The 12,011-nt window shown below is 39.5% G+C and overlaps 1 protein-coding gene across 9 annotated transcripts in view; it reads right to left on the bottom strand.

The window, feature by feature from the left end:
• The window catches only part of DGKI (diacylglycerol kinase iota), a 465,938-nt gene that overhangs the window by 307,950 nt on the left and 145,977 nt on the right, over positions 1-12,011 (bottom strand). For 8 of the 9 annotated variants that reach the window (XM_047421022.1, NM_001321708.2, XM_047421021.1 and 5 more), the window contains one exon: positions 908-1,016. The exons of the other annotated variant lie outside the window; for it this stretch is intronic. In XM_047421022.1, coding sequence (XP_047276978.1) covers positions 908-1,016 — 109 coding nt within the window. The remainder of the gene's footprint in view (positions 1-907; positions 1,017-12,011) is intronic. 9 annotated transcript variants of the gene reach the window in all.

Raw genomic sequence — 12,011 nt, forward strand, 5'->3', positions numbered from 1 at the left:
AAGGATATTAATAAGTGTGTGCTGAGAGGAGAGGAAGAAATGCTATAATACAGAGGATATCAAATCATGGCATGGGTTACCTTTCCCCCACCCCACCTTTCTCTTTCATATGGAGAAAAAGAACATGGATTATCCCTTCTATTCAGACTCAACTAAAAGTGCTAAACAAGGTTCATCATCAGGGAAGGCTGGCAGAACTTCAGGGAAGCCCTTCTCTCCCTTGATACCTTTTCCTCATATTGCTTCAGGAAGGGACAAAGCCTTTGGGTCTACAGTTAGAAACAGTTACTCGGCCAAGAACTCGACTCACTGAAGACTCTCAATAAATGTGTTTAATCAACTAAAGAGTTTCAGACTATAATCTTCAAGTCAAGTTAATAGTTTTTGTGAGTGTGTTATGGTTAAAATGTTAACATCAGCTCATATACCCAACCTACTGATGCCAGACCCATCTGCCTTTGGTTAAGGGAGGAAGGAAAAGCAATAGAATGACATGAAGTGCCTGTAATCCTCTGGGAAAAAAAGCACCCAGAAAAACTCAGCTCAAGCTGAGGAAATCAAAACTTAGATTGCGAGATGTTGCACTAAGGGTAAGCTCAATTCATCGTCAACTTGGCAGAAACCAATAAAGACTGCGCACGAGGTACTTTTTAATCTTACAGCTGCAGTAATACTTCAAATGATTCAGGAAGCTTTTATCTTAGTCTTGAACACATCTGACTTCATATAAAGGAGTGATGTTCATAGGAGTTTGAAAATGGAGCTACAGCTAAGGTATCTGAGGACAGGTCAGCAGGCAATGTTGAAAATTATTAAGCAAGTCTTCCTTGTAACTAGAGGAATCCTGAGAATGAGAGACACAAAACATGCACTGAAGTGATGTTTAAATGAAAAGGCCAACACCTACACTCCAGTCCAAAGTCGCTCTGGGCTCCTTGGCTGGACCATTTGCCACAGGAAGGCTGAGGGGATGTGCAGGAGCCAGATGCTGGAGGCCTGCCCGGGAGATTGCTTTCCTGCAGCAAGAAGAAAAACAAAAACAAAAACAAAGAAAAACCAACATCAGAATCTCATACAGAGCTCAAAATTTCCCATGGGGTAGAAACAATGCCTGAGTTAGCCTCTTCCACATCTGAAAATCTTTACCAAAGTATTGGAATATACCTCTCTAAAGTGCATGGTGTCCAAAGAGGGTGGCAGGTCCCAAAAGACAGGGAGGTCAAGGGGACCACTGTGGGGAAATAGTGCTTCAGAACCAAAAATTAAAATATAATCCTCTATTCAGAGTAGAGGGAAAGAGCAAAGGTCTTGACTCTTCATTTATGGAAAAAGACCTAGGGTTTGGGCAGCCACCATACTTGAACAACTTTAAGATTGCCAGCGACTAAAAGCAAGAAAAATGGGCTCATGAGGTCTCCTACTGAAATTCCTCCATTTTCCAGCAAAGCATTCTCCAAGCTGGTTACAGCTGAAAGTTCACTGTTATTTTGCTTTCCTCTCGAGAATATCATCCTTTCCCTATCCTCCTTACCCCTGCAGAGGACTACATGAGTTTGAGGTTCTAAATGGGAAAAGACTGCTTTGCATCTGCCAAGAAATTGCACATTCAATAACTTACCAAGACCCACAGTAAGATAAAGCCTAAAAACACTAATTAGATTTTAGATTTGTTGAGTGGAACATAACAGAATTCACGTCAGAAAGGAGGGTATGAATTGGGAGAGGTTGAGATAGTCAGCCCTGATCTTGGTCTGCAAAGAAATGAAACAAGAGGGGCTACTTTAGCAAAGCAAATATGATCATTGCTGAGCAAAGGGAAGGGAAGAACGGTTAGAGCATAGTGGTGAGAATAAGAACAGCAAGAAGAAGAAAAAAAAAGCAGAGATCACCTAGGGAGATCTGTGGGATCATCAGGAACCGTGGAAGTTCAATTTCTGAATGGCCTCCCAAAAAATGTCTCACAAGGGTCTAGAGCTTAAACATGAGCGCTGATTTGTGATTGAACTAAGTCACTCCCTAGAAGGGAGAGGGGCTTTTCCCCTATAATAATATCTAAGTGTGGTCTGAGAAGTACCTGAAATAGAATCAGGAGGGTCTTGTGATGCTGCAACTCTGAGTCCTGAATCAGTTGGAGGGTGAGGCACAGGAAGCTGCATTTACACACACTCCTAAGGTTCTCTTCTGTGCACTAAAGTTCTTAGACTTTGCTCTGTGGGAGCATGTACATTTAAGCAGCTGGGACCACAACTTTCCAAAGCCCATCAAGGGGAGCTCTAAAGAAAACATCAGCAATTGCATTATTTACTTTATCTTCATTTGGCTGTCTTCAGCTAATCTCATATGACCTGAACACTGCAGTAAGAATCTGCCATCTCTGAGATGAGGCCTGCAGATACCCTGGATCCCCAGAAAGGCCCAGATCCTCAGACTTCTCAACCCCTTGGACTACACAGAGGAACAAAGCTCCAGACAGTGGAATGGAGAAAAGGAAAGCAGTGATGGCCAGATCTGTGGTGACTCCCATCACAAATGAGTCCCCAAAGGAAAAGAAACTTGCCCCATATAAACGGGAAGGAATAGGAACAGAATTTAAAAGCTTTCTTGAACCCTGAAGGGCAGGTAATCTTTTCATCCTGCTCAGCGACCTCTGCAAACTCCCTCCAAAAAATAATTTGTAAAGTTGAGCAAGATGAACAGTAGCCCCCAAGCCTGAGGAAACACTGAGTAGAAGCCAGTAAGAATCCAGGATTGTGCAACCATTAATCAATTACCAAGTATGTCAGAGAGCTCAGCAAGTGTCTAGACCTTTGGGTTTTTTTTTTTTTTTTTTTTTTTAAGCCTCTTGTATTCCTATACAGGAAGTCCCAGATATAGGGGGTAGGTCTTCAGTAGTTAGAAGCGATCACATCGAGCTTGCTGGTAGCCTACTTTCAAAAGCTCCCACTGGGTAACAGACAATTTACTTGCTTTATATAATCCCCGAAAGGGTCATTATGAAGATGGAGGCCTTTAATGATGACACAATATTCTCGTTCCTCACTTTCACCAAGGCAAATAATTAGCAACATCAATTTTGGCCCCTCACCCCAAAGCATATTCCATATCATCGAGCAATAAGAAAGTAACAGTGGAAGAATCTTATACAGTGATCTTTCATCTCAAAACAGTTTTCCTCCACCTATGTTGAAGGAACTTCTTTAGCATTTTTATTAGGATTTTCTCTGGCTTTGAAGGGCTCTGTATGGGGACTCTGAGCTACAGTTTTCCTCATAAGAAAATCAGATCTCTGAAGAGTCAGAATACACAGGTTCTACATTTGATTCCTTAACAGTCACCACAACCTAAATTAAGTGTCCTTACAAAAAATACCAAACCACACCCAAGTGCAAACTCTTAGAATGGCTGAAGAATTTCTAAATCTTGGTTTAATGAGAAAAACACAGATCTTTCATTTTTTCATTAACTGTCCCAGACAGTTTTGATACAAAAAAATTTTTTTAAGAGAGGAAACAAAACGCTACTGTCAGGCACCAGTAGAAACCACAGGGCAAATGAGTTTAACTCATCAGAACTTGTAGACTCTGACCGCCAAAACCCGGTTACTCTTCCTAATTAGGACTGCCAGGAGGAGCCAATTGCTGAAATAATCAAATTAGGATTCAAGGATGCAAGCCACGTGTGTCTATGAAAGATAATGTGGCTATATGATAAAGAGACATACAAACATTTAACCCTGAAAGAAATTACAGTCAAATCACACTCTTTTCTAGCCTGGGAATAGAAACAAGTAAGGCCTTTTTGTTGATCACTTATTTCTCTTTGTGGATACAAATTTAAGGTTGGTTTTATGTCTACACACATAAACATTAATTAGGAGAAAAAAATAAGTAAAAAACATGAAAGTGGCTGCCAGTTTGTAACTCTAATTGCCCTCACAAAAGGACATACAAATAGAAAAAATATATTTAGGTACAACAGGGTGTACGAAATAACTTCTGATTAGAACTTTCCATTCTTTTAAATAACCATGGGAGAAAATCCTTTTCTCCAATAATTCATACATGCATACACATTTTCTTCCAAAATAAGAAAATAGTTTTATTATATCTCAGACCTCAAATATAAGTTAGCGAAAGTTATTTTTCTATTTGAATTTATCTTGCTGGTAGATGACGAATTTAAGAGTCTAGTAGAACTTGGTGTGTGGTTGGGAGTGGGATGAGGGGGCAGTAGTTTTATGCTGCAATTTGCTCCTATTAAAAAAAAATCAATGGGGTTTCAACTTGTTCTTTCCTTCTGCTCAGAATCCTCTCAAGCCCACGGTCAGCAAAACCATGAAATGCCAATGATTCTTTCTATTAATTTCACAACAACGCTTCATAGGAGATGGCTATAATCACAAATGCTTCTTTGAAAAGAACTGTGATATTAACTGTGAAATAGATATGAAAAGAAAATATCCTATAATGCAGTTTCAATAATACAACATCACAGTTAATATCAATTACCTGAAAGACCTCTAATATATTTAAAATATAAAAGCCATTATACATTTTAAGTAGCATCATATTATTTTCTTCACTTCATTCAATAAGACTATAAACTCCTAAAGGACAGGGCTCAATCCATCTACTAATCTTAATTACATTCCAGCCCTGGGGTAGACACAGTCTATATTCAAGAAATGCTTTCTGAGTTAATGAATGAACTTGACCAAGAAGCTAAGAAAAACAGCTTGCTGATTAGATCAAGGGTTGAGAAATCTGATTAGGATGATTTGAATTATATCCCATGCCTTACATTTCAGTGATATTCTTGCCTGAGAGAGTCAGAAATCCTTCATAGCAGCTCTTTAAAAATAAATGCAAATAAGGTAGAATCCAGTGTTAAGAAGCCTAAGAAACATCAAAACGGCTTTGTGTGGTCAACATTAAAATGGAATCCCTTTGCCACATTCGTAAAGGGCATATGATAGTGTTAATATTTTTACAATGTGTTTAATGAAACATGTGGCATATACTCTTCATAAATAGAAATTTAAAAATTTATGGAAGGCCGGGCACGGTGGCTCACGCCTGTAATCCCAGCACTTTGGGAGGCCGAGGCGGGCAGATCACAAGGTCAGGAGATTGAGACCATCCTGGCTAACACGGTGAAACCCCATCTCTACTAAAAATACAAAAAATTAGCCGGGCGAGGTGGCGGGCGCCTGTAGTCCCAGCTACTTAGGAGGCTGAGGAAAGAGAATGGCATGAACCCCAGGGGGCGGAGCCTGCAGTGAGCGGAGATCGTGCCACTGCACTCCAGCCTGGGCGACAGCGAGACTCCGTCTCAAAAAAAAAAAAAAAAAATTTATGGAAAACATGCAAATAAGCCAGAGATACCCTTTTCTAATTACCCACTTTGCAAATTTCTCTCAATTTCCTCTGGTTCCAGTTTCAGTCTGATTGTAGGTTTATGTGGCTCCCGTTTTCTATCTATCCTCATCTTGCCAGCTCCCTCTCTGGGTGATGCTGCACGTGAGAACAGAATCAGGATTCTTCTTGCAGAGCAGAAAAGCACCAGAGAATCAGGAAGTCTCTTACCCAGAACACCTCCTAAAGATTGACACATTAGAGACTGGTGAACTCATCCTGTTGTTCTAGAAAAGGAACCAGCTGTCTAAGAAGTTACTCAGTGTCTTGGTTTGATTCCCCAAGAGAGTTCTTAATCACCTAGTGTGTTGTTGTCTTTTTTCTTATACCATATGGGCACTAACTTTGCTTGTCTTCAAAGCAGCTCACAGTGCTTTTTGGCTGACTTAGACAAGCTGCCTACAATGTAAAGGATAGTCCACGCAATAAAAAAATTGTCCCAAGCCCCGCACAAACTTCACCTCTGATTTATGTCAGGGAACAAACTGTGCGTAATTATTTGAGCCTAAATCCTACTTCATATTATATATGAACTCAAAGTACTTTTTGATTATTTTAATGTACATTGAAATGTTGAAAGATGTAATTACTATTGAACCAAAGGTTGTGTTTTGTTTCCTAAGAAACTCATCCCATTGAGTCACTCAAAAAATCACTTTTGGTATTGAATCTTCAACATAATATACAACTATTATTCTACGTTTGTTACCTTCACAGTGATTCTCCAACATTGGTACTCAACCTTTGCCTACCATGGGGTTTAAGAATGAGTCCATTCAAAGCCCTCCAGGTATTTCTAATGTGTATCCTGGCTAGGAACCACTGTTCCACACAGATGTGCAAACATCTGACTACTTCATTGTCTGTAATGTGACTAAGCCCAGGCCTTTACATATTGAAATATATCCATTCAACAATGTATTTACCGAATGTCTATTTTATGCCAAGCACTGTTCTAAATGTGTAGGTTACAAGAACAAATAAAACAGACCCCAATCACTGCTGCCTTTGAGAAGCTTACATTTGAACAGAAAATACATTTTGCCAGGCACTGAATCTTTTTACATATTTTACGTATCCCTCACAATAATAAGGTATGATCCCTATTTCATAATAAATTTCCCATTTTTTTATAATAGATGTTCTCCATGGAGCTTATGGAGAACACGTAAGCTCCATGTCTAACAACACACAGGTAAGAAGAGGTCCGAGTAAGATTTGAATGGAGGCATCTAACTCCAGAAGGTATATACTTAACCATTTCACAACCTGACACTTTTATAAAATGCTGACAGTACACATATACATAGCAAACCAGACGTACTATAAAATTCACCTTTTCTATACTACTTCTCTAATTGCCTTAATTATAAATTTCCTGTCTCTAGAACAAGAATGCAAACTTCTACCAGCAAGAGGACATGTTTACTAGGCACTGGAGTGCAGAAGTTAAGCACACACCTTACCTTACCAATTAATGGTTATGTAGTCAGATAGCTTGATGTCTTTTAGCCTCAGTTTCCTTATACGTAAAATAAAAATAGCGCCTAACTCAGAGAATAGTGGAAAAAAATTGGGCAGGATGCTTGGCACAGAGTAAGCACAATCGATAGTTGCTGCTATTATTGTTCGTACACACATCAGCGGGCCCCCACAGCACCAGCCAAAGCTAGGTACATGGTAAATCTCTGAATAAATATGTGCTTTTTGATTGCTCTCAAAACAGTCTAAGTTCCCTGGACACTTCTGTTCATTCAACAAACATTTGACAAACTTCCACCACGTGTCAGGCAGTTCAAAGGGGTTATTCAAACAGAAGATTTCCTCTTCTAGTCAGTAAATAATTCCACGGTTGCCAAAGGAATCATTCTTCTTCCCTGCCTAACCCATCTTCCTAATACAAAATCAGAAAGCACCGCACACTTTCCTCAGACAGATTTACCATCATATTAAACACATGCAAATGTGCAATCCAAATGCCATTGGAAGTATTTATTATATTCATGTAAATAAATGCAATGCCCAAAAGACTTTTTTTTTTTTTTTTTTTTTTTTTTTTTTTTGCTTAATGTGTAAAAATGGCCTGGCAGCTGAATGCCCCTGAGAACTTGTGAACTCATTTCTCAGACAGGATTTAATTCCCAAGTGTAACTTTCCTAACCACATCCATAAGGCAACACTGGTACGGGCTTGGCGTGGGATGTGGCAACAAACCTCATTTTAAAACATGGTAAGATGACTTCACTGAGATTCTCTCCAGAGTTAATGACATTCTTCTCCTTATGGTATCACTTGAGGGAAAAAGTAATCCTTGAGAATGGAGAAAAAATAATCATGCTGTTATGGGCTGAACTGTGTCACCCCAAAGTTCCCATGTTGAAGTCCCAATTCCTAGTACCTCAGAAGGTAACCGTATTTTAAGATAGGGTCTTTACAGAGGTCATCAAGTTAAGCTGAGGTCATTAGGACAGGCCCCTAACCTAATATGACTGTGTCTTTATAAAAAGGGGAGATTTGGACCCAGACACACACATAGGGAGAAAGCCATGTGAAGATGAAGGCAGAGATCTGGGTGATGGTTCTATGAGCCAAGGAACACTGAAGATTGCCAGCAACCACCAGCAGCTAGGGGAGAGATTCTCCCTCACAGCCCTCAGAGAGAACCAACCCTGCCGACATTTTGATCATAGACTTTCAGCCTCCAGAACTGTGAGACAATACATTTTGGTTGTTTAAACCACTCAATGTGTGGTACTTTGTTATGGCAACCCTAGCAAATACACATACTTCAAAACCACACCCAAAGTTTGAATTTAGCATGATAGGGTTTGGCTAACTTCAAAATGCTGACTTCTCTTTTCCAGTTGCCCCCATGAAACCTTGGATGCCTTCCCATAATAATGCTACCCTTTATAAACTAATAATACTTAAACAGAAACACATTCCCATGAAAAACATCATTCTCTTATACATAGTAGTGAGCATCTGACCAAGTTTTATTTAACTCACTAGTAAAGTAACAAGTAGAGAAGACAAATGCAAAGTCAAAGTATAAATAAGAAATTGAGATTGATAAAAGTCGGGAAAGAAATGCCTAAAAAGACTGCTAAATTAGATATAAGAGTAGTTTACACTCTATCAGTGAATAAGATCTTAACCTCTGTGGCATTAACTTCTCTTTCGGTCTATAAAATCATAAAACATCAGCTTTTCACAGGTTATCTTCTAGCCTTCCAGAAATATAAACTATCAGCACCTCTATCAGTTTTGGATTATTGATAATACTCAAATATACAGAAACAACAAAATTATAGTACCCAAGAGTATCAGATGAGAGTCAATTACTAAATAAAAAGATTCTGCTTTTATTGGAGGAGACTAATTAGAATATGCTCCAGTAAAATAACATCTTAAAAAATAAAACAATAACAATTTCCCTTGTCAAAATTTAGAATAATTTTATTCTCACTACTCATGGTTCAAACTATTAATTAGAATTCCTTATGTAGCTTTATATATCTATATCTATATGTATATATAGCTATCTATCTATCTATCTGGAGATAGCTATATATATATAGATATCTCTCCAGATCTCCAGATAGATAGCTATAGATAGATAAACAGACAGATAGATAGATACAGATATATATAGATATCTATATATATCTCCAGACAGATATCTATATAGAGAGATATATATAACTCCAGATATATATAGATATAGATATAGATATAACTCCAAATATATATATATATATATCTCCAGATAGATAGATATATAGATAGATCCATATCCTGGAAAATACCTTGAAATAAATTATCTTACCTTCAAAGCAATAATAATAATTTCTTGGGTACCCAGTATGCATTGGAAATTCTTTTACCCACTTTCTTTCTGATTGGAAACAGACTCTCAGACAGAAGTTTTCAAGAGGTTTACTGAAGAATGCTTGTCAGGGATTAAAGGAGGCAGGATTAGCAGAGTGAGAAGCTGGACTATGAGATAGTTGTAACGGAAGCCTCAGTTGGCCTCACAAGAAGTTCTGGAGCTGGATTGCCCCAATTTAAGGTAAAAGAACAAGACTCTCAAACTTTACATCAACCAGTCTTTGAGTACAGGCAGCCCCTGGGGAGAGTATAACCATGGCAGAGATCTTCTTGTGTCAGAGACAATACCTCGGAAGGGGCTCAGATGTGGACCAGCAGCAGCCAACACTCCCAGCAGCGGTGAAATGAGTACCTTGGTTCTGAGAAGCCCTGTGGGCAGCAAACCACAGCACACCTCAAATATGCATAGCAAGTTTATGAAATGGATCGTTTTGCTATGCCCATTTTATGAATGGGACGATTGATATTAGAAAGTTTAAGTAATTTAGGTAAGCCATACAGTGAATCAGTGATAAAACCAAGACTGGAGCCCAGATGTCTGGCTCCAAAGGCTCTCTCACTCTGTATTCGCTCTGAAAGGAAGGGAGAGAGAAGGGCCACACAATAGAAAGGAAGGGAAGGATCCACAAGATGGTATAATACCAGGGCATGCAATGGACTAAATGCTGTCCATGAAATGCTATCTTAGTCTGTTTGGGCTGCTCTAACAAAGCACCATAAACTGGGAGGCTTATGAACAACAGACATTTATTTCTCACAGTTCTGGAGGTTGGAGAACCCAAGATCAAGGTGCCAGCAGATTCAATGTCCGGTGAGGGTCTACTTCCTGGTCATAGAAGGTGTCATTTCACTGGATCTTCACATGGAGGAAGAGGCAAATGTGCTTGCTTAGGTCTCTTTTAAAGGGACACTAATCCCACTCATGCAGACTCCACCCTCATGACCTATTCACCTCTCAAAAGGCCCCACTTCCTGATACCATCACCTTGGGGGTTAGGATTTTAGGATTGAGAGGGGGCATAAACATACAGGCAAATGCCCTGGTATGGGGTAAATAAAGAGCATGTTAAGAACACAGTCTAATGCTCAATTGGAAGTTGTTGCACACTGTCATGGAAATGCCTCCTTTGTCTCCTCCATATTTCCCACCTGGACTTGTACCTTCAGGGAAGTCTACTTTTTGCCTTAAAGGCAGTGAGGTCTAATGAATATGGAAATTGGAGAAGGGGCTGAATTTTATATCCAGGTCAATGAATACAGAATAGATTTTGCCTACTGAGATAAAAAGATAATCCAGAATTGAACAAATTTAGGAAAAGCATTAGCCTGGGAACAGAAATAACCTTAAGAACATAAGCCTTTTGGGACTTCAAAGAAATTTTAGGGGAAAGGATTTAAATTTCCACAGGGCTGTTCCCAGTAAAACTGACAACAAGAAAAGTGTATCATTAGCATCCCACTCCCCATTTCGATGCTAGCACACTTGGTCCCTTCCCCCTTCAATTTCACCTGGACGCCTATACTGTCACAACCACAGTCTTGCAAAACTGATGGTATCGCTGACTAGACAACCCCCACACAAGGCTGTCAACTGAAGGCAACTGTCCCTCATAAGGCTATCTGTGTTCTCAGAAGGGACTCATAAAAATGAAAAAATCCTGCATGACCCTAAGGAATGGAGTCAAATGACATTCAAAGTAGTTAAAATTATTTTCCTAAGCTGTAATTCAGAGTGCCATAGATATAATGGGATGTCTGTGGTGACAGGCAAAGACCTAACTACCTACTTCGATGTCAGGCCTAGGCACAATGGTTAAGCCTACAAAGACCCCAGAGCACACCTATGTGTTGAGGAGACACACTGCCAGGGTGTATCAGTGCCAGTTGTATCAGTGAGGTGAAGGTCCTGGAAGGAAACAGAAGTCATCCCAGATGATTCAGGTGAAGATACTTTAGCAAAATAATTACTTAAAAGTAGAGCTGGGGAACACAGCATTACCTGATCTCAAGACCTGCAATATAGCTAAAGAAACCAAGGGCGTGTGGTTTTGGAGAAAAGGGATGTGAAGGTACCCAGAGACAGATGAATGGTTGTCTTGGTGCAGTGAACTGAAAGTAGTATCAAAAAATTTAAATCTCAGCCTTTTTCATAGCAGATAAAGGAAGTCTAGCCTTATCAATCTCTTCTCACATTTCTTATTTTTCAAATTTTAAAATCACTTTTGCAACTCTACCAAATTCTTTCTGATACCAACCTGGCTCTCAGCTATATCTTTTAGTGCTAGGTAAAAAATAAAGTGCCATGGCAGAGCGCAGTGGCTTATGCCTGTAATCCCAGCACTTTGGGAGGCCAAGGCAGGTGGATCACCTGAGTTCAGGAGTTTGAGACCAGCCTGGCCAACATGGTGAAACCTCTTCTCTACTAAAAATACAAAAACTAGCCAGGCATGGTGGCGGGAGCCTATAATCCCAGCTACTTGGGAGGCTGAGGCAGGAGAATTGCTTGAACCTGGGAGGCAGAAGTTGGAGTGAGCTGAGATGGCGCCACTGCACTCCAGCCTGGGCGACAAGAGCGAAGCTCCGTCTCAAATAAATAAATAAATAAATAAATAAATAAATAAATAAATAAATAAAATAAAGTGCCTTCTTTAAGGTTTAATAGGAAGTTGGTGGCAGAGCCACAAAGAGAAGTCAGGTTTCTTCATC

Source organism: Homo sapiens, chromosome 7 (assembly GCF_000001405.40).
Source record: "Homo sapiens chromosome 7, GRCh38.p14 Primary Assembly".
Lineage (NCBI taxonomy): Eukaryota > Metazoa > Chordata > Mammalia > Primates > Hominidae > Homo > Homo sapiens.